Below are 23479 nucleotides of genomic sequence, written 5' to 3'. Positions count from 1 at the left end.
CTCTTATCTGGCCCCACCCACATCCTGCTGATTGGTAGAGTCGAGTGGCCTGTTTTGTCAGGGCGCTGATTGGTGCGTTTACAATCCCTGAGCTAGATACAAAGGTTCTCCACGTCCCCATCAGATTAGTTAGATACAGAGTTTCCACACATAGGTTCTACAAGGCCCCACCAGAGCAGCTAGATACAGAGTGTCGATTGGTGCACTCACAAACCTTGAGCTAAACACAGGGTGCTGATTGGTGTGTTTACAAACCTTGAGCTAGATACAGAGTGCCGATTGGTGTATTTACAATCCTTGAGCTAGACATAAAGGTTCTCCACGTCCTCACCAGAGCAGCTAGATACAGAGTGTCGATTGGTGCACTCACAAACCTTGAGCTAAACACAGGGTGCTGATTGGTGTATTTACAATCCCTGAGCTAGATATAAAGACTCTCCACGTCCCCACCAGACTCAGGAGCCCAGCTGGCTTCACGTAGTGGATCCCGCACCAGGGCTGCAGGTGGAGCTGCCTGCCAGTCCTGCGCCGTGCGCTCGCATTCCTCAGCCCTTGGGTGGTTGATGGGACTGGGCGCTGTGGAGCAGGGGGTGGCGCTCGTCGGGGAGGCTCGGGCCGCAAAGGAGCCCACGGAGGGGGTGAGAGGCTCAGGCATGGCGGGCTGCAGGTCCCGAGCCCTGCCCCGTGGGAAGGCAGCCAAGGCCCGGCGAGAAATCGAGCGCAGCACCGGTGGGCCGGCACTGCTGGGGGACCCAGTACACCCTCCGCAGCCACTGGCCCGGGTGCTAAGTCCCCCATTGCCCGGGGCCAGCAGGGCTGGCTGGCTGCTCCGAGTGCGGGGCCCACCAAGCCCACGCCCACCCGGAACTCCAGCTGGCCCGCAAGTGCCGCACACAGCCCCGGTTCCCGCTCGTGTCTCTCCCTCCACACCTCCCTGCAAGCTGAGGGAGTGGGCTCCGGCCTTGGCCAGCCCAGAAAGGGGCTCCCACAGTGCAGTGGGGGACTGAAGGGCTCCTCAAATGCCACCAAAGTGGGAGCCCAGGCAGGGGAGGTGCCGAGAGCAAGCGAGGGCTCTGAGGACTGCCAGCACGCTGTCACCTCTCAATAAGATGAAGTTTTGACTTTTAATTGCTTCATTCCTTGTAAGGAGATAGGTAAACAGATTTCAAAACAATTTGATAGGTGCTGTGACTTTGGTATTGCTTGGTTATCACAATGAGATAGAAAAATGCCACTAGAGTTTGAAAACATGTAATTTCTTGAATGGCAGAAATGAACCTGTTTTGGGACATTTATACCAAGTAAGAGACAGCATAGAATACCCCAATCAGACGTGAAGTTTTCTTGTCTATTCCTCAAGGAGGTTGCAAAGGTGCTTCTGAAGTAGTGTGTCAGACCCGGAAAGCCAAATTCTTGATACTTCACTGTACTCTTTTCCCCCCACCATACTTTTATACTTATGGGTTGCATAACTACTGTTCCATAGAAACCTTTTCAACTTACATGCTACTATCAAAGAGAGTGCTTACAAACATTGGGCTTTCCCACTACTGAAATCAAACTCAATTAGCAAGGCAATGTTCTTATTCAACAAGAGAAAGCAGTCAGTGGCTAGTCTGCTGCCTGTCTGAATTTGTCTCCTGGAAGCTCCTTTTCCTTGAATGTATGCAGATAAGCACAGGGTGCTTTGAAAGTATAGGGAGGAGTGTCCAAACAGATTTAGACACTCAATTGTATGGAACAGAAAGAATCAGGCAGGGCTTTATGGAGGATGTGATATACATACCTCTTGAAGTTTATTTGCCCCATCTTACTTCATATTTGATTTGTTCGTTTCCCCACTAAGGCAGAGTAATAATAATTGAAGCCTTTTTTTTTTTTTTTTTGAGGCAAGGTCTCACTTTATTGCCCAGGCTGGAGTGCAGTGGTACGATTAAGGCTTACTATAGCCTTGACCTCCTGGGCTCAAGCTGTCCTCCTGCTTCAGCCTCCCAAGTAGCTAGTCCTCCCACCTCAGCCTCCCAAGTAGCTAGGACTACAGGTAGACACTATTGACTCCTGGCTAATTTTTTGTATTTTTAGTAGAGACAGAGTTTTGCCATGTTGCCCAGGCTGGTCTCAAATTCCTGGGCTCAAGCGATCCTCCTGCCTGGACCTCCCAAAGTGCTGGAATTACAGGCATGAGCCACTGCTGAAGCCTCCAACTGAAGACTTTTAAGCTAAATTACAAATATCATTTGCATCTCTAAAATATTAATACAAGGACATTTTACTATATGCTGCTTTCCACACAGTAAAAACATTTTAAAAAAACCCTAATGACTCTTATGTATTACCTTGCCCATGTTCAAATTTCTCATCCCCCAAAATATATTTTACAGCTGGTTTGCTCAAATCAGGATCCAGTAGTAACCATATGTTGCATTTGGTTATATCTCATAAATCTGTTTTTCCACCCTCTTAAATAGACTTTGCCTTTTAGTCTTAAGTCTTTTTTACACTAAAACTTAGTCCACTGCCTTTACTTGTTAATTTATCCACCACATTGACCCGTAAGAGATTTTGGCACATAGCATGACCTGCCTTCTAGTTTTTGTCTGATGGCTTCCTCGCAATAGTATTATACTGTTCTCTGTATTTCCCGTAAACTGGAAGTTAGATGTAAAGGTTTGATTCGATTCAGGTTAAACATTTTTTGGCACAAATACTTACTAGGTGGTACAGTGTTGTTTTTCTTTAGTCTGTTGTTTTCTTTCTATTTATTTATTTATTTATTTTATTTTGTTTTTTTGAGACGGAGTCTTGCTCTGTTGCCCAGGCTGGAGTGTAGTGGCATGATCTCGGCTCACTGCAACCTCCAGCTCCCTGGTTCAAGCAATTCCCCTGCCTCAGTCTCCCAAGTAGCTGGGATTACAGGTGCCTGCCACCACGTCTGGCTAATTTTTTTGTATTTTTCGTAGAGACGGGGTTTCACCATGTTGGCCAGACTGGTCGCGAACTCCTGACCTCAGGCAGTTCGCCTGCCTCAGTCTCCCAAAGTGCTGGGATTACAGGCGTGAGCCACTGCGCCCGGCCTATTTATTTATTTATTTTTGAAATGGAGTCTCTCTGTGTCACCTAGGCTGGAGTGCAGTCACGTGATCTAGGCTCACTGCAACCTCTCCACCTCCCAGGTTCAAGCGATTCTCCTGCCTCAGCCTCCCAAGTGGCTGGGACTGCAGGCACGCACCACCATGCCCAGCTAATTTTTGTATTTTTAGTAGAGATGGGGTTTCACTTGTTTTCTTTATTGTTAATTCCAACTCAGTTCTAACACTCTGATACAACCCATCATTCATCAGTTTTGAACTTAGATAGTTACACTACTGCAGTGTCAGCTGCTCTCTTCCTTTTCTTTTGGGGATTTTTAGCTAGTCCTTTTTTTCTTTGTCCCTGATATATCCTTTACCCTTCATTTCTTCCCTGACTTCTATCTCAGATACAAATAATGCCAGTTCCAAGATACCTTATTATTTAACATAGTACATTCCAGCTATTTTTTTTGTGACTTTATAGGAGCAGCTCAACTAAACTTTCTTATGACTTTAGTATGAACTCTCCTTATTCATTTTTTCTCAGGCTTTACTTCTGGTCCCATGAAGAATGACTAGAGAGAGGCAGGCACAGATTGGCCTTATCACCCCTTGGTTCATTCTGGAAATCATGACTAGATAGGGTGTCTGAAAGTAGGAGTGGGTTAGAAGAAAGGTTAAATGCAACATAATTTTCTCTCGGAATGTGGGTCTTTTGCTAGTTATTTCCAACATCATATAATGAATGGCCTGAGCGGATGCTTTCTTTTGTGAAAACTGTAATGTGTGTTGACATACGTAGCTTGTAGGAATGGAGAGAGTGGATAAAGAGATAAATAGGTCAAATACTGGATCATGTTTTCTTGGGAGGGATAGAAGTTTTTTTCATATTATAATTTAGGGGCATAAGTAACTACAGAATTTTTGACCTTTTCTACTTTGCAGTTAATATTAATGGTTCATTAGAAGGAAAAAAGACTGCCTTGTTTTTCTTTCTGAGCTATCACTAGGAGTAAGAAAAAATCTGATTGGAAAAAGTAACCTCTGATAAAGGATTTTAACTGGTATCAGGGCTTATATTTATTCATTAACATTTCTTTCTTGCATACTTTGGATCATGATATGGTTAAGAGATAGAGTTTTTTTATTTGGGAAGATTCCTTCACTACCATTTTATGAAATCTTTGCAGAAGGTCCCAGTTGTAAATGCATCCCTTGTCTGGGTTGCACATATTTTTATGGCTACTATAGCTCAGTTTGGAAATGGTTCTTGTTGCATTATCACAACTTATTTTCAAATTAATAGATTTTCTTTTTTGGGGGGAAATTAATGTCATGTAGAAAGATATTTGCAATATGAGGATTATCGTTTTTATGTCTGTTATTAAACAAAAGATTGCCTCTTTTTGAAGTAACTATGTTTCATTATTTTAAATTTCACATTTTAACATCTGAAATCTTCAATTAACTGATGGTATGGTGGTTAATTGGCAAAGTTTTTATTTATTAGCTGTACATGGAGTAATGTCATTTCTTAACAATTAGTGATTTTTTAAATTTTTATTTATTTATTTTTGTGACAGAGTCTCACTCTGTCGCCCAGGCTGGAGTGCAGTGGTGCAATCTCAGCTTACTGCAAGCTCTGCCTCCTGGGTTCTCACCATTCTCCTGCATCAGCCTCCTGAGTAGCTGGGACTACAGGTGCCCACCACCACGCCTGGCTAATTTTTTTGTATTTTTAGTAGAGACAGGGTTTCACCATGTTAGCCAGGATGGTCCTGATCTCATGACCTTGTGATCCGCCCGCCTCGGCCTCCTAAAGTGCTGGGTTTACTGGTGTGAGCCACCGTTCCCGGCCAGTGATATCTTGAATTTGATGAAATACAGCAGTTTACTATTCAGTTTACTCATGATTTAGCCCCAGAAACACTGAGCTAGTGCTGAGATTGGTAGAGTGAGGTGAGTAGCAATGAGGGAGGTAGAAAGTTTATTTTGTGTCCTTTTTTTTTTTTTTTTTTTTTTTTTGAGATGGAGTCTCGCTCTGTCACCAGGCTGGAGTGCAGTGGCGCAATCTCGGCTTGACGTGATCTCGGCTCACCGCAACCTCCGTGGATTCAAGCGATTCTCCTGCCTCAGCCTCCCAAGTAGCTGGGACTACAGCCAAGGCACCACCACGCCTGGCTAATTTTTGTATTTTTAGTAGAGGCGGGGTTTCACCACGTTGTTCAGGATGGTCCCGATTTCTTGACCTCGTGATCTGCTGGCCTTGGCCTCCTAAAGTGCTGGGATTACAGGCGCGAGCCACCGCGCCTGGCCTGTTTTGTGTCTTTTTAAAGGCTTTTACATAGTCTCATCTCAGCTTCGATGAGAGGATCAGGATATGTAAGGACTTCAAGCTAAACATAATAATGAATACTCACATTATATAGGCTTCATTAAAATCCCTAATGAGGCTAGGCACGGTGGCTCCTGCCTGTAATCCCAGCACTTTGGGAGACCAAGGTGGGTGGCTCACCTGAGGTGAGGAGTTCGAGACCAGCCTGGTCAACATGGCGAAGCCCCGTCTCTACTAAAAATACAAAAAAATTAGCTAGGCGTGGTGGTGCATGCCTGTAATTCCAGCCACTTGGGAGGCTGAGGCAGGAGAATCGCTTGAACCTGGAAGGCGGAGGTTTTGGTGAGCCGAGATCGCGCCACTGCACTCCAGCATGGGCAACAGTGAGACTCTGTTTCAAATAAATAAATAAAAGCCCTAATGGAGTCCTAAACTGAAGCGAATGTTCCTGTCTTTTCAGACAAAGGATTACATAATTTGCCCTTTGCCCTCTCCTGAATCTGTTCTCCCTCTCAAAGATTTCATTCTCTCTCCAGATTTCAGCTCTAACCTCTAATTGTTTTCTTGGTGCTTTGGTGCTGTTGTCTTCCTCCCTTGTCGTTAACTTTTTTTTTTTTTTTTTAAACTAGTAGACTTTTTTGGGAGGGGGCAGTTTTAGGTTTACAGAAAAATGAATGGAAAGTATAGAAAGTTCTTATACATTCTCTCTTCTCTCCCAAATTTCTCCAGTTAGCATCTTGCTTTAGTATGGTACATTTGTTATAATTGATGAGCCAATATTGATGTACATTGTTATTAACTAAAAGTTTCATTGTCCGAAACATCCCGTGTAGGAGTTTTTTTGTCATGCTGCTAATAAAGATATATCCAAGACTGGGTAATTCATAAAGGAAAGTGGTTTAATGGACTCGTAGTTCCACATGGCTGGGGAGGCCTCACAATCATGGCAGAAGACGAAGGAGGAGCAGAGGGACATCTTACATGGTGGCTGGAGAGAATGAGAGCCAAGCAAAAGGGGAAACCCCTTATAAAACCATCAGATCTCATGAGACTTCTTCACTACCATGAGAACAGTATGGGGGAAACTGACCCCATGATTCAGTTTTCTCTCACAGGGTCCCTCCCACAACACATGGGAATTATGGGAGCTATAATTCAAGATGAGATTTGGGTGGGGACACAGTTAAACCATATCACCCTATTTCTACTTATTCATTCTTCCTTTCTTGTCCCCACTCTAGCCCCTGACAACCACTGGTCTTTTTACTGTCTTCCATAGTTTTGCCTTCTTCAGAATAAAATATAGTTGGAATCATACAGATTGGCTTCTTTCACTTAGCAATATTCTTTTAAGGTTCCTCTATGTCTTTCATGGCTTGATAACTCATTTCTTTTTATCATTGAATAATACTTCATTGTATAGATGTAACACAGTTTGTTTATCCAGTTACCCATTGAAGGATAGCTTGATGCTTCCAAAGTTTGGCAATTATGAATAGGAAGTTAGCCTTTTAAAACACAAATATATAAAGTACCTCAAGTCACCTACTTGAAAAAGGTTGAGCTAATTCAGTATCTTAAGCCCTAAAGAATGATAACTCTTATTTTTGTGTAAACATTTCCAGTTGTGTAGTTGGCTCGTAACAGTGCTCAGTAAAAGTGTGTGAAATGATTGAATATGAAAGAAGGAAGGAGGAATTGAAGAGAAGCAGGAGAAAAGATTATATCTTAAATCTAGATACTTTTAGGAAAATGAGATTATCTTGAAACTCAGCTGGAAACTCTAATGGGGACCAAGATGGTCAGGGCTCTGAATTAAATCATTAGCTTGAAAACACTCTAGAGTTTTTTATTCCTAATTCTTATACTTTAAAGTGTATATATATTTTAATTTAATATACATTTTAAGTGTATACTTTAAAGTATATACATTTTAATATACACATCTTTTTATAGCTCCCAACTACAGAGCCAGCTCTATAGTTGCAGCTCTATTGTAGGCCAAAGTGTGTTCCCTAAAATGCCATATAAGAAAAAACCTCATATGGGTTGTCTGTCAGTCTTGTACCCTACATCAACATAAGACGTTGTAATGTAATTATAAACTAGAAAAGCATTTCCTAAAATATTTTACGAATTTCTAGCCTTATTGTTATGCTGAGATTTTGTTTTTCTTTAAATGAATCTTTAATGTATTTAGCTTCCCTCCATTTTAAACTAGTTTAGTTTTTTTTTTTTTCAATAATGCGTATGTTTTTGCTTTCTTCATTGTAGAACGGTGGCAGCCGAAGTTAGGAAGCAGATCTCCGGACAATATAGTGGTTCTCCCCAACTGCTCAAAAACCTTAATATTGTTGGCAATATATCCCATCACACCACAGTAAGTAACGTATTCAAAATATAGTCTCTTCTTGGTGTATGATTGACTAGGCCATGAAAAAATAGTGGAAAGATAAGAGCTAATTGGGTTCCGTCATTAGTCTCATAACCTTACTTGTTACCTCATTTTGTTGAAATCTGAGTTGGGAGAGGATGTTGGGGGTGTTATAGAATTGCTAGTTTCCTAGCCAACTCTGAAACTTTATAGTCAGGATTTAATCAATCCTGGAATTTTACATTTAGAACTTTTTTTTCTTCTTTTTTTGAGACCGAGTCTCACTCTGTCGCCCAGGCTGGAGTGCAGTGGCGCGTTCTCGGCTCACTGCAACTTCCGCCTCCTGGGTTCCAGTGATTCTCATGCCTTAGCCTCCTGAGTAGCTGGGACTACAGGCATGTGCCACCATGCCCAGCTAATTTTTGTATTTTTAGTAGAGATGAGGTTTTACCATATTGGCCAGGCTGGTCTTGAACTCCTGACCTTGTGATCCACCTTCCTCGGCCTCCCAAATTGCTGGGATTACAGGTGTGAGCCACCGCGTCCGGCCCTAGAACTTTTAAAGACTGAAGGTGATTCATTATGTGAAAATTTAGGAATCTATTCTAGAAACAAGCACCGAAGTAAATTATTTGGGTTTGTAGTATTATCTGTCCCCTTTAAGATAAATGAATTTATATTTATTGAATTATTACTGTAAGCCCAGTACTGTGTCAGAGACATAAATGTTCTCTTATTAAAGAAGCTGGCATGAGGAAATTCAGTTTTGATAAAAACTAATATTTATTATATTAGAAATATGAATTAAAAACATACCTCCATTTGTCTTAAAATTAGAGGTCATTTTTACAAAATGCTGTGGGAAACTAAAAAAAGCAAATAAGCATGATAGGGTGGAGTTATATATTAGCATTTTCCATTTAGCTGTGAAAGGGTACGTGTTATTGAACAAACTGGGAAATAACAGTTTGATCGACTTATAATGATATAATGTTTGTGTTACTAAAATTTGAAAACATAAAGTTTACTTTTAATTACAGTAACATGCTAATTGCAGAAATTTTAGAATATATGGATTTTTGGCTGATTTCAATGTACATGGAGATAATCCTTCCAAAATGCTCTTGGTGTCTTGAACGCCTCTCTTCCAGTGATATTATTTTGCATCCTGAATTACACCTTAACTACTCAAAATTTCTATAATCAGACCTTAGATTTTTGTCATTATGAATAACTATAACCCATATGTAATCTTAGTTTTACACTTCCCACTCTCTGATCACCACGTCTTATCTTTATGGCCTTCTTGTTCTGGTACCCTGACTCCAATTGTCCTTCCACATCACTAGGACCTAGAATCCATGAACCCATTGAATTAGTCATAGGTAGCGACTTCCCAGGTTTTGTCATTATTTTCACTGAGTATTTATTTGTGACATTTTAAATTCTGAGCTATATACTGCCCTAGAAATAATATCTGGGCAAAAAACGCTGAATTAGAAAAAAATTGAATTTAAAAAAATATTTATATATGTATAATATATACTTACATGCTATATTTGTATATATAATAGATATAGTGGTAAAATATACATAACATAAAATTTACCATTCTAACCAGTTTTATTTATACAATTCACTGGCATTAAGTACATTTACAGTATTGTACAACCATCACCACTATTTATCTCCAGAACTTTTTCATTATCCCATACTGAAACCCTGTACCCATTAAACAATAACTTCCCATTTTCCCCCCTTCCCAACTCCTGATAATATATTCTCTTTCCTGCCTTTATGAATTTGCCTCTTCTGTGTACCTGATGTAAGTGGAATCATACAGTATTTGTCCTTTTGTGTCTAGCTTATTTTACTTAGCAGAATGTTTTAAAGGTTTATTCAGGTTGTGGCCTGTATCTTTTTTTTTTTTTTTCAGACAGGTTCTTGCTTTATCATCGAGGCTGAGTACCATGGTACCATCATAGCTCACTATAGCCTTGACCTTCCAGGCTCAAGTGATCCTCCCATATCAGCCTCCTGAGTAGTTGGGACTACATGCGCATGCCATCATGCCTGGCTAATTTTTGTATTTTTTATAGAGACAGGGTCTCACTATGTTGCCTAGGCTGGTCTTGAACTCCTGGGTTCAAGTGATCCTCTTTGGCCTCCCAAAGTGTTGGGATTACAGATGTGAGCCACCATGCGTGGCTGATTTAATTCATTTTTAAGGCTGAATAGTACTCCATTATATGTATATGCCACATTTTGTTTATTCATTAATTTTGATGGACATTGGGGTTGTTTGCAAACTTTTGGCTATTGTGAATAATGCTGCTATGAACATGAGAGTACAATTAGCTTTTTGATTTACTGTTTTCAGTTCTTTTGGGTATATACCTAGAACTGGAATTGCTAGATCATAGAGTAATTCTGTGTTTATTGTATGCTTTTTGAGGAGCCACCAATCTGTTTTTCCTAGCAACTGTATCATTTTACATTTCCACCGTCAATGCACAAGGGTTCAAATTTCTCCATATTGTTGTCCACACTTGTTATTAACCATTTTAAAAATAATAGCCATTCTAATGGGTACCAAGTGGTATCTCACTTATACTTTTGGTTTACATTTCCCTATCTGCAAATTTTATGTTGTATTTTCATTTAGTTCAATGTATTTTTTCATTTCATTTTTCAGACTTTTGTAACTCATGGATTATTCAGAAGTATGTTTAATTTCTAAGTGTTTGAAGATTTTCCTATTATCTTTCTGTTGCCACTTTCTAGTTTGATTCTACTATAGTCAGAGAACACATTCTGTCTGATTTCAGTTCTTTTTAAATTTGTTGAAGTTTGTTTTATGGGTCAGAGTATGGTCTGTCTTGGTGTATACTTTTGGGACCTTTGTAAAGAATGTATATTCTGTTGTCATCGGGTGGAGTGTTCTATAAATGTCAGTTAGATCTATTGGTTGATGGTGCTTTTGAATTATACTGTATCCTTGTTGATTTTCTAGAATCTGCAGAAAAGAGATCTCTTGAATTCTGCAAGTATAATTGTGATATGTCTTATTTCTTCTTTCAGTTCAATCAGTTTTTGCTACACCTATTTTATAGCTCTGTTATTTAGTACATACACAGAGTATAACTCTGTTATTTAGTACATACACATTTAAGATTGCTATGTCCTCTTGGATCATTCCTTTTATAATGAAGGTAATGTCCCTCTCTATTTGATACGGTTCTTTGCTCTGAAGTCTGTGTTTTCCCTTATTAACTTAGCCACTCCAGCTTTCTTTTGAATAATTGTCGCCTGGTATATCTTTTTCCATACTTCTATTTTCAACCTACCTATGTTGTGTTATTTGAAGTGAGTTATTTGTAGATACCACATTGTTAGGTCATATTTTAAAGTCCTTTCTGCTAATCTCTTACTGTTTACATTTACATTTATAATACAATGTATAAATTTGTAATTTAATGTTGTTACTCTGTTAGGGTTTAAATCTACCATTTTATTTTTTGTTTATTCTCTATTTTTCATCTCTCTGTTTTCTTTTTTTCTACTTCTCTGGGGTTACCTAAACATTTTTTAGAATTCCATTTTGATTTATAGTGTTGTGGAGAGTATCTCTTTGTATAGCTTTTTTAGTGGCTGCACAAGGTATTGTGTTATATCCATGACTTATCACAGTATTGGTGTTGATATATTACCAGTTTGAGTAAAGTGTAGAAACCTTACCTATTTTTACATCCCTTTACCCTCTCCTGTATATAATTGTCTTAAACATTTTTCTATAAACACTTAGAATCATACTGGACAATTTAGAAAAGTCAAGAGGAAAAGGAAAGTCTATTGTATTTACCTATATTTTTTGCTCGTGCTGTGTTTCTTTTTCCTTCCTAATATTTCCAGATACCTTTTATTATATTTCCAGATACCTTTTATTATTTCCTTTTGGTTTAAGGAATTTCTTTTAGCCATTCTTTTAGAATAGATCTGCTGGTGACAGAGTCTCTTAGTTTTATTTTATCGGAGTATGTCTTGATTTCCCCTTCATTTTTTTTTTTTTTCTCTTTTGAGACAGGGGTCTCACTCTGTCACCCAGGGTGGAGTGTAGTGGTGCAATCTCAGCTTACTGCAACCTCTGCCTCCCAGGCTCAAGTAATTCTCCCACCTCAGCCATCGGAGTAGCTGGGACCACAGGTGCATGCCACCATGCCTGGCTAATTTTTTGTAAATTTTTGGTATAGTTGAGGTTTTGCCATGTTTCCCAGGCTGGCCTTGAACTCCTGAGCTCAGTCGATCCACCTGCCTTGGCCTCCCAAAGTGCTGGGATTACAGCCATGAGCTACTGCGCCCGGCCTTCCCCTTCATTCTTCAAGGATATTTGCAGGATCTAAAATTCCAGGTGGTCAGTTATTTTCTTTCAGCACTTGAAAAATGTTGTGCCACTTTCTTTTGACTGCCATGATTTTTTATGAGAAATCTAGGTTGAATTTTTTCCTCCTAGAGGTAATGTGTCGTTTTCTCCTCACTGCTTTCAAGATTTTGTTTTATTTTATTTTATTTTGGAGACTGAGTCTCGCTCTGTCCCCCAGACTGGAGTGCAGTGGTGCAATCTTGACTCACTGCAACCTCTGCCTCCTGGAGGCAGATTCAAGCGATTCTCATGCCGCAGCCTCCCGAGTAGCTGGGATTATAGGTGCCCGCCACCATGCCTGGCTAATTTTTATATTTTTAGTAGAGACAGGGTTTTGCCATGTTCGCCAGGCTGGTCTCGAACTCCTAACCTCAGGTGATCTGCCTGCCTCTGCCTCCCAAAGTGCTAGGATTACAGGTGTGAGCCACTGCACCTGGCCTTTCTTTTTTCTTTTCTTTCTTTTTTTTTTTTCTTTGTCTAAATTTGGTTGCTGTGTCATGGTACATATTTCTTTGGGTTTATCCTGTTTAAGGTTTGCTTAGCTTCTTGAGTCTGTAGGCTTATGTCTTTTTATGAAATTTAGAAGTTTTCAGCCATTGTTTTTTCAGATATATTTCAGCCCTGCCTTCTTTTTTCTCACTTTCTAGGACTCTGGTGATGCCAGTATTGGATATTTTAGTGTAGTTTGTCCCTGAAGATGTTTTTTATTTTTGTTTTTGTTTTGTTTTGATTTTTCACTCTGTTTTTCTTTTAATGCTGTTCAGATTGGATAATTTCTATTTTTCTTTCTTCAAGGTAGCTGATTTTTACCTCCTCTGTCCCCTCTTTTCTGCTATTGAATTTGTCTGTTGAATTTTCAGTTCTAAAATTTCCATTTAGTTCTTTATATCTTCTGTTTCTTTGCCGAGACTTTGTTTCTTTACAGAGAGTTTCTGGTTTTTCATTTATTTTAAGAGTGTTTACAATTGCTGTTGAATTATTTTTCTGATGTTTGCCTTGAAATCTTTGTCATATAATGCTAAGATCACTTATCTTGGTATTAACATCTATAAGTTGTCTTTTTAATTAGAGTTAAGATTTTCCTCGTTCTTAGTATGATGAGAGATTTTTTTATTGGAACTTGGACCTTTTGGGTCTTATGTTGTTAATTTCTAGGTCTTATTTAAACATATTTTAGCTGGTTTTCTTTGATATTGCTCTAGTTATAGGTGGATGCTATCTTGTTTTGGCCAGACGGAGTAGAAGTTCAGATTTCTTACTTGTCTTCTTTTGGTACACAAGGAGGGGAAGGACTCCTTGTTACTTACTGTTGAGCAGGAGGGAGGGTTCCCACTTCTACTGGACCACAGCCCACACTATTTAGCTGGGAAGGGTAGTAGTGCTCCTTACTGTTCCTCACATGGCCACCACTGACACCCAAGGGTGTGTGACCTTGTTACACTAGGCATTGGTGAACGTACTTACTCTCCACTAGACCTTCTCTGACAGTTCCCAAGTGATAAAGGAAAGAGGAGCCATGTTGCTGCTTCATAGGAGTTGATGTCCAGATTCCCTTAGTGGTCTCTACTGAGACTTTGGGAGTAAGAGATTCATTATTGCTCGGTAGATAGGAAAATCCCAACACCCTACTTGTGCTTCTCTGATACTACCCTGGTGGGGAGAGTTGGGATGCCTTGTTACAGCTTTGTGAGGGAAGAAATCTAGCTCCCCACTTGGCCTTTGTGCAGTTATAGTCTAAATGTTTTTTGTTTTGTCAGGCTGCTTCTTTTTTGATCTTTTGGCTGGGGAAAATAGGCTCCCCACCCCCCGGCCCTCCCACCCCTAGGGCTTCTTGGTGTATTCTGGGTTGTGGGCTTTTCTGGTTCTAAGTCTGGAATGTATAAGGCAAAAAGAAATTTTGAAGTAACTCACTGTCATGCCATTCCCTGGGTTCTGATGTCCCTGCCGGCCAGCCTTTTTCTCTATACCTTTCAGAGTCTTCTTAGGTTTGTTTTCTATGTAATATCTAGGCTGTTGTACTTAGTGGAAAGAATAGAGAAAAGTACTTCTACTTCATCTTTCCAGAAGGGAAAGTACCCCCTAGTGACTTTTGATGTTTGAGCACTTTTTTATGTGCTTTATTTTTTCCCATTTATTTGAGGGTTTGGCTTTTTAAAAAATTATTGAGATACAGGACTTCTTCATATATTCTAATTACTAGTCCTTTATCAAATGTTTTGTAAATACTTTCTCTTAGTGTGGCTTGTTCATCATTTTCTTAACAGTGTCTTTTAAGGAATCAAATTTTTCTTTTATGATTATTCTTTTTTCATGTGTAAGAAAACTTGGCCTACTCCCAAATTGTAAGGACATTTTGCTGTGTTTTCTTCAAATAGCTTTATAGTTTTAAGCATGTATGTTTGTGTCTGTGATCCATCTCAGTTTAATTTTTGTATATGTTGTGATACAAAGATTGGGGTTCATTTTTTATATGTGGATATCCAGTTCTAATAACAATGGTTAAAGAAGATTTCTCTTTTCCTGTTGGATTGCTTTCTTTTTCTTTGTTAAGAACATCATAGAATAATTTGTACTTAATAAGATAGGTAAGGTAGAAGGCTTATGAGAGAAAAAATCATAGAAAAAATTTTAGAGCTCGAAAACCCAGTTTCAAATTTCTGCTCTACCATTTTGTGGCTATTATATTTTCAGATGTTGGTTAACTTTTTTGAGCACAAATGCCCTTATTTGTAGAATTGAAATAGTAATTATATCTAACTTACAGGGTTTGGGGGAAGTTTAAATGAGATGGCATATACTGATAATGATAAATAACTACTATCTTTTGAGTGTTTAAGATGTGTTATTTATTATTTTACTCAATATCTTTAAAATGTTAAGTCCAGGCTGGGCGCCGTGGCTCACACCTGTAATCCCAGCACTTCGGGAGGCCGAAGCAGGCGGATTGCTTGAGCTCAGGAGTTCCAAAGTTAGCCTGGGCAACATGGCGAGACCCTGTCTCTACAAAAAAACACAAAAATTAGTGAGGCATGGTAGCTCACGCCTGTAATCCCAGCTACTTGGGAGGCTGAGGTGGGAGAATCCCTTGAGCCCAGGACGCAAAGGTTGCAGTGAGCTGAAATTGCACCATTGCACTCTAGCCTGAATGACAGAGGAAGAGCCCGTCTCAAAAAAAAAAAAAAAAAGAAAAGAAAAAAAAAGTTCAGTCCAAAGAAGCATAGGTTAAAGCACCTTCAGATTAATAATGTGCACCTGCACAGAGGCAGGTTTCAGTGTTTTTATTCCAGATGACTATCCTGAGAAATAACATGTTCTTATTTTCATTGGTCTATAACTGCATGTTTGTTTTATATCCTTTATAGGTTTGTCTGAATATTTTTTTCTTTTTCGAACTAGATAAGAAGTATGGTATTTTATTAAAAAGTATCTGGTTAAAAACTTGGCTGAAGAATGCTACCAGTCTTTTATTATTATTAATGGGTAGTTTTAATAGGGCCTGTGTATTCCTTTCGTATGGCTACTGTAACAAAGTACTACAAACTGGGTGGCTTAAAACAAAAGAAATTTATTCTCTCACAGTGCTAGAGGCCAAAAGTCTGAAATCAGTATCACTGGACTAAAATAAGGTTTTGGCAGGGCTGTGCTTTCTTCAGATTTCTCCTGGAGTATCAGTTCTTTGTCTCTTCCAAATTCTGATGGCTTTGGCATTCCTTGACTTGTGATCACATCATCTCTATCTTCAAGGCCAGGATATTCAAATCTCTCTCTTTTTCATCTTTATACAAATTTTTTCTCTCTGTGTATAGCCTAATCTCCCTCTGTCTCCTCATGAGGATATATGTGATTGCATTTAGAAACCACCTGGATAATCCAGCATAATACTCCCGTTTTAAGATCCTTAATTACATCTGCAAAGACTGTTTTATTTTTTATTTTTTTCCATATAAGGTGACATGTACAGGGCCCATGTGTTAGGATGTGGAGAATTTTTGGAGGGACATTTTTTAGCCTACCCCAGTCTGATTATATGTTTTTACTAGGATAATCAACAAAAACAAGAAATAAAGTAAGAGCACTGTTTAGAAACGTAGCAACTTACTTTTTTTTTTAATATCCAAAGATATAAAAAAGCAAAAATAATCCTTCCAGTGAGTACTTTGTAAACTATAAAGTAGAATAAAACTGTTAATTCTTACTAGTGTTTTTATGTGAGAGTTCTGGGCAAAGTATCAGCAAGGACATTAAAGAGAGTATGACCCAAAACATCAAGGAGTACAAGAAGGGTAACACTTTGTGTTTTCTTTAGTGCATCTGGTTGAATATCTGTGAAAATTTTAGAAAGAACTAGATTAAAAGCTTTTATTTAAAAAAATGTTATTTGCCTTAAGTTTTAAAATTATTACATTCACCTCTTGTTTTCTACCCATCTCTTATCCCAACTTTTTACAAAGGTGCCCCTTACCGAAGCAGTAGATCCAGTGGATTTGGAAGATTACCTCATTACTCATCCTTTGGCTGTGGATTCTGGGCCTTTACGGGATTTGATTGAATTTCCTCCAGATGATATTGAAGTTGTTTATAGTCCTCGGGACTGCAGAACTCTTGTTTCAGCTGTACCTGAAGAAAGGTAAGGAGACATTGACTTATTTTTGGCTTTAGAGGAACTATAGAAAGGCTACCTTCCATTATTTTATTTAGAGCCTACTTCTTATAGCATCATCATTTCCTGTTACGCAAACAGCGATTGTAGCAACCAAATTAATGAACATCAGTGCTGTCCCGTCTAAATTACAAATGTATTTTCCTTTTTAAAATAGTGAAATGGATCCACATGTTAGAGACTGTATAAGAAGTTATACAGAAGACTGGGCAATTGTCATCAGAAAGTAAGTTATATGTTTATTACAACATTTACAAATATTGAGTAAGATTTCTAAATGGATTAAGGCAGATTCGTAATGTTTATGAGACCTGAAAATTTATTTAAACAAAATAGCTGAAGAAACAAAAGAAGAACTTTTGTGTATAGATATTTACTCCTTAGGATTTCTGTAATACTTTTACTTTCTTTGTAAAATATAATTCATGGGAAAATAGTATTTCTGTATTATTATAAATCATTAAGAGCTACTAATGTATGATAATGATTTTGTGGTCTAATTCTTTTAGGAAATATTGGGTAGATATTGATGAATAATTTGTATTTCTCAAAAAGAATCCAGTTTAGTGAAACTTAAATAGCTAAGTTAAAATTAACAGGCAGTTTTACAGACCAAGCTATTTGAAAGGTCTCTGCTGTTTCTAACTAATATTTATAGGTCTTTGACCTCTACATCCAATCAGGTAAATATTTGTAAAAAATAATGTTTTGTTCTAGCCAAAATTTATTTTCCTAATAAACTGTGCAATAGCAAGTCAGATTAAGAAGTATAATAAAACTGATTTACACAATAATCATTTGCTAATTTGCATAATGGAGAAGGGTCTTCATACTGAATCTTCTTAACCTTATTTGATTTTTCTGAAGGAGATATGATTGAAGTAGTGGAGAATTCTGATACGGCATTATAGTTTTCACAAATGAAATAATCTATGCAAAATAGCACTAGCAAAAGTGATATATCCATTGCTGATTGTTTTGCCCTCATGGCTGTCTTATTTCACTAGGCTTTACATTGTGCTAAATATCACTCTGGGGGATAATGCTGACATGCTTTTTAGTTTCAGTGTGACCTAATAAAAGCACAGTCTGCTGCCCTTTATATAGAAGAGCTGTTTTTATGAACTTACAATTTTGATAAGTATTCTGGTAGCCAAATTTTAGACATTACTGAAGAATACTGTTTCTCAGTCAGATAATTCAAAAGTCTTTACCTCTGTGCATATATGTTAGAAACCTATAATCAGAAATCTTAATAAAAAGGTTAGTTGTAAAATATATTGACCTCAGAATCATGGAAATCTGCTACTTCTAAGCACAGGGTTGTTAACCTTGGTTTAGGCAAGAGGATAAGAGAATTAACATTTATGGGTTTACTGTGTGCTGGGCATTTTATTGGGCACTTTGCACTCATCTCATTTAAGGTTTTAACAGATAAGGTGGCTCAGGCTCAGAGTAGTTAGGTAACTTCTCTGAGATCCCACAAACCAAAAAATAGAGTAGTCAGGATTGGAATATAGGGGCATCAGATTCTAAAGCCCTTATTTTTTTCTATTATACTAGATATTATACATTATATGCACTGGTAAGTGGAAGACCAAAGGGAGTACTTTTGGTGAACTAGAAGTTATGAGGTATCTCTGAAACAAAGAAGATAGGTGTGATTGGAATGTAAGAGAAAACTATAGTACAGAATAATCTAAGGAGAAGATACATGCAAAAGCTTCAGTAGTGCTTTAAGCTCAGAACCAGTGAATGCAGGCAATGGAAAGGGAGACTTGGTAAATATTGGATATGTAGTTACTCTGAAACCTCTTCCACCATGTGTGCACAGTGACAGCAGAGATATCTGCCTTTATTTATTTATTTATTTAGGATCAGTAATTGTGGAGGCTTAGGCTAATAGAATAGCGCCCAGGGTGAGCACATCTTGGAGGAAGAAGGATTCCTCATACCCAGAAGACTAGGTACTGGCAGACTTTGCTTGGTGGCGTGATCTGCCCTTTCCCTGCAACCACTGGATATGGGCTGGGGTAAGCAGATACAGTAGTTTAAGACAGATGTGGGGGATACAAATTAAAAAATTAAGATAGAACCCAAAATTGCCAAGTATTTGATGCAAACCAATACACTTGAAATAGAATTATCCAACTACAAATAAAAGAAGTAATAATTTAGGAAATAGTTAATGGAACACAGATTAAGATCTGTAAGTGTAAAGAATACACTTACATACATGAGAATAATGTGCATGAGAAATGTGAAAGGTATTTTAACCATATAAAAATCAATTCGTTATCTTTGGAAATTAAAATTTTGATTAGTGAAAAAAGTATTACAGACTCAGCAGATGGGCTTAATGGCGGTGTGGATATGGCTGAAAAGTGAAATAGCTATAAGATGAAGCCACAGAATTCTTTTTTTTTTTTTTCGGGCTCCCCCCTTACAGAGGTCTGCGAGCCATGCGATAAACTTTTCTTTTTTTTCTTTTTTTTTTTTTTATTATACTTTAAGTTCTAGGGTACATGTGCACAACTTGCAGGTTTGTTACATATGTATACATGTGCCATGTTGGTGTGCTGCACCCATTAACTCGTCATTTATATTAGGTATATCTCCTAATGCTATCCCTCCCCCTCCCCCTCCCCCCACCCCACAACAGGCCCCTGTGTGTGATGTTCCCCTTCCTGTCTCCACATGTTCTCATTGTTCAATTCTCACCTGTGAGTGAGAACATGTGGTGTTTGGTTTTTTGTCCTTGCAATAGTTTGCTGAGAATGATGGTTTCCAGCTTCATCCATGTCCCTACAAAGGACATGAACTCATCCTTTTTTATGGCTGCATAGTATTCCATGGTGTATATGTGCCACATTTTCTTAATCCAGTCTATCATTGATGGACATTTGGGTTGGTTCCAAGTCTTTGCTATTGTGAATAGCACCGCAGTAAACATACGTGTGCATGTGTCTTTATAGCAGCATGATTTATAATCCTTTGGGTATATACCCAGTAATGGGATGGCTGGGTCAAATAGTATTTCTAGTTCTAGATCCCTGAGGAATTGCCACACTGTCTTCCACAGTGGTTGAACTAGTTTACAGTCCCACCAACACTGTAAAAGTGTTCCTGTTTCTCCACATCCTCTCCAGCACCTGTTGTTTCCTGACTTTTTAATGATCGCCATTCTAACTGGTGTGAGATGGTGTCTCATTATGGTTTTGATTTGCATTTCTCTGATGGCCAGTGATGATGAGCATTTTTTCATGTGTCTGTTGGCTGCAGAAATGTCTTCTTTTGAGAAGTGTCTGTTCATATCGTTTGCCCACTTTTTGATAGGGTTGTTTGTTTTTTTCTTGTAAATTTGTTTGAGTTCTTTGTAGATTCTGGATATTAGCCCTTTGTCAGATGAGTAGATTGCAAAAATTTTCTCCCATTCTGTAGGTTGCCTGTTCACTCTGATGGTAGTTTCTTTTGCTGTGCAGAAGCTCTTTAGTTTAATTAGATCCCATTTGTCAATTTTGGAAGCCATGAAATTCTTCCACGATTCAGCACAGTATGATAAAGGGACACAAAAGTACTTCATTTATTTATTTATTCAGTTAGTGTTTATTGAGAGTCTTATATGTACCAGGCACTATACTAAAGACTGATGATACAGCAGTGAACGAAACCAACTCTCTACCCTCATGGAGTTTATATTCTAGTGGGAGATGAGATTGTCAATAGACAATAAACCAACACAGGTAAATATAGACTAAATATGATCTAGGTGAGTCAGTGGAGAAAAAAGTAGGATGAAGTGGATAGAGAGGGCCAAGAAGAGGGACAAATATTTTTATTTTATTATTTATTTTGGTTTCTATTTAGTTATTTACTTGGGACAAGGTCTCTCTCTGTTACCTTGAATTCCTGGCCTCAAGCCATCCTCTTACTTCAGCCTCCCCAAGTGTTGGGATTACAGGTGTGAGCCACCATGCTCGACCTTCTGTTTTATATAATTAATCAGAGGAAGCCTTACTGATAAGGTGATTTTGAGCAGAGACCTGAAGGAAGTGAGCCCTGTAAATATCTGGGGGAAGAATGTTATTAGGCAGAGGGAAGAGCAATACATGCTAAGGCTCCATATTGAAAGCATGCTAGAAATGTTCAAGGAACAAAGAGTAAAGAGGACAGTGTGGCTGGAACCGTAAATGAGAGTGAGAATGCTAAGAAACAAGTCAGAAAAATGGTGATGTGTGTGGGGTTGAATGGGTAATTATTAGAGCCTTATCATAGCAACAGACTAGAGGACAGGATGACATAGAAGAGAGTATTGATCATGAATCATTCTTTGCTTTCTTGAATTTCATATCGTCAATTTTTTTAGTATAGAATTCAGTAGCATTCTGATTTATCAGAGCAGCTTACGTATGCAGCTTTACAAATTAAGACACTTGAAACATTCCATTAAAGATTAAGATACCTGCTTCTAAGTAATAACTTTCATGTTACTATATTGAGTGTCTTTAGTTCTTTCAGAGAAAATACTTTCTTTTGCGATTATGCAGTGATGTTAATATCATGTAATTGCTATTTTAATAGCTTTAGCAACAAGACTGGATGTGAGTAATTCATATCAAATGTGATTCTTTACTGTCTCATAAATTGGGTGATAACAAGAACTATACCATCTTGTGAACATTATTGTTTTGCTTCAACTAAAATGTTCCTTCAGTTTGGCTCTATGAAGTGTTGAATCACGAACAATAATTGCTTTTTGATCAGCTCATATTTGATGTTCTTGGGTATTAGGTTGTTATTGGATTGTTAAGAAAGAAGCTTGCATTAATTTAAGAGTTGTTTTTAGCTAACTGTGTATATATGTAATGTTAATATATATATGTACACAGTGATGGTGTAGATTTTGCTGTTTTTCATTTTACAAGTCTGCAGCTTTAGGTTAAGATCTTTTATAGATAACGAGAGATAGCAAAAAATTTCTTGGCTACTTGAAATTTTAAGATTCAGTGCTTTATATGTATATAACCTTTTAAAATTTATATTATTCTTAATTCAGTGTATGTTTTCTATTTCTCATTTTATTCTTTAACCCAAGTTACTGGCTTCCCAAGTTTTCTTTTTACTGACCAATTCTCTGAATTGAAAGTACAGCTTAATTTATATACACATGATTGGCATGGAAAGAAGGAAAATATGATTTGCTTTTGGAAACTCATACTCTACTCCTTAGCTGGGTTAAAGGAACATTGAATATAAATTTTCTTTAACCTAAATTGCTAGAATAGATTCTTATTACATAAAGAAATAATGCAGAAAACACTTGGCTTATTACATAATGATGCCCAAAAAGTGAAAAAATTCCTAAGTTTGATAGTTGATATTTATTTAACTTTTTTTCTTTAATAGATATCATAAATTGGGAACAGGATTTAATCCCAATACATTAGATAAACAGAAAGAAAGGCAAAAAGGTTTGCCAAAACAAGTTTTTGAATCTGATGAAGCTCCAGATGGCAACAGCTACCAGGATGATCAAGTAATACTTTTATTCTTAAATAACTATAAGAAGTTATTTAAAAATAGTTGTCAATTTATTAATTAATATATTTATATTTAATGTTTTGCATGACAGGATGACCTTAAAAGACGTTCAATGTCAATAGATGATACCCCAAGGGGTAGCTGGGCCTGTAGTATCTTTGACTTGAAAAATTCACTTCCTGATGCTTTGCTTCCCAATTTACTTGATCGAACTCCAAATGAAGAAATAGACCGTCAGAATGATGACCAAAGGAAATCAAACCGTCACAAAGAACTTTTTGCTTTGCATCCATCACCAGATGAGGTATAGATGTTTGCATATAAAGAAGCAAATGATTATTAAAATTGATCTTTTGGGATTATGATTGATATATAGTATTACAAAATGTAGAGGATAAAGCAACTGAAACAGCTGTAATTTTTATAAATGAATACATTTTATACTAGTGAATTTACTATTCTTAATGAGTAAGTTATAATCAAATGACTTCTGTCTGTGGATAAATAGGTCATTCTTCTCTATGTTCTATTGTGAAGACTAAAAGTGTTAGATTAGTAAAGTAAGTTCTGAAAAAGATAAAGAGTTGGAATATGATAAGCATATTCATTTTGGTGTTGCTTTTCAATTTGTAGGAAGAACCAATAGAACGGCTTAGTGTTCCTGATATACCCAAAGAACATTTTGGTCAAAGACTTCTTGTAAAATGCTTATCACTCAAGTGAGTATTTATTTCTTTTACTTACAACTTTTATTTTCCAGGATAAAATTTTAGTAGTGATGTAACAAAATCTGAGTAGATTTTATAGTTGCATTTGTGTCCTTTTGAGAAGTATTGTTCTACATGTCATTTTAAATACTATTCAGCATTCAAACGTATGTATGAAGCTGAGCCTACTGTGCTAAGCCTAACGTATTTATGAAGCTAAGCCTACTGTGTAGCAAACATAAAGTCAACTTTTAAATTCTGTATATCATTTTAAGTGCTATTCAGCATTCAAACCTATGTATGAAGCTAATCCTGCTGTTCTAAGCCTAAGATATATATGAAGCTAAGTCTGCCATATAACAAATATAAAA

General features: G+C 37.6%; 1 protein-coding gene across 15 annotated transcripts in view, besides 1 other annotated feature; it reads left to right on the top strand.

Moving 5' to 3' along the window:
- DOCK7 (dedicator of cytokinesis 7) overlaps nucleotides 1-23479 on the top strand; it is a 233661-nt gene that overhangs the window by 17576 nt on the left and 192606 nt on the right. For all 15 annotated transcript variants that reach the window (XM_047432967.1, NM_001272001.2, NM_001272000.2 and 12 more), the window contains exons 2-7: nucleotides 7681-7786; nucleotides 16652-16827; nucleotides 17018-17086; nucleotides 22267-22396; nucleotides 22493-22705; nucleotides 23035-23120. In XM_047432967.1, the coding sequence (XP_047288923.1) occupies nucleotides 7681-7786; nucleotides 16652-16827; nucleotides 17018-17086; nucleotides 22267-22396; nucleotides 22493-22705; nucleotides 23035-23120 (780 nt within the window). The remainder of the gene's footprint in view (nucleotides 1-7680; nucleotides 7787-16651; nucleotides 16828-17017; nucleotides 17087-22266; nucleotides 22397-22492; nucleotides 22706-23034; nucleotides 23121-23479) is intronic.
- Nucleotides 308-869: an enhancer, noted in NCBI's record as "H3K27ac-H3K4me1 hESC enhancer chr1:63135613-63136174 (GRCh37/hg19 assembly coordinates)". NCBI's record gives its function as "activates a minimal SCP1, AML or CMV promoter by ChIP-STARR-seq in primed H9 embryonic stem cells {active_cell/tissue: H9 hESC(primed)}" and the evidence as "EXISTENCE:reporter gene assay evidence [ECO:0000049][PMID:30033119]".

This window comes from Homo sapiens, chromosome 1, assembly GCF_000001405.40.
Source record: "Homo sapiens chromosome 1, GRCh38.p14 Primary Assembly".
Classification (NCBI taxonomy): Eukaryota; Metazoa; Chordata; class Mammalia; order Primates; family Hominidae; genus Homo; species Homo sapiens.
The sequence above is the reverse complement of the archived record's forward strand: the minus strand, read 5'-3'. Positions and strand labels throughout refer to the sequence as shown.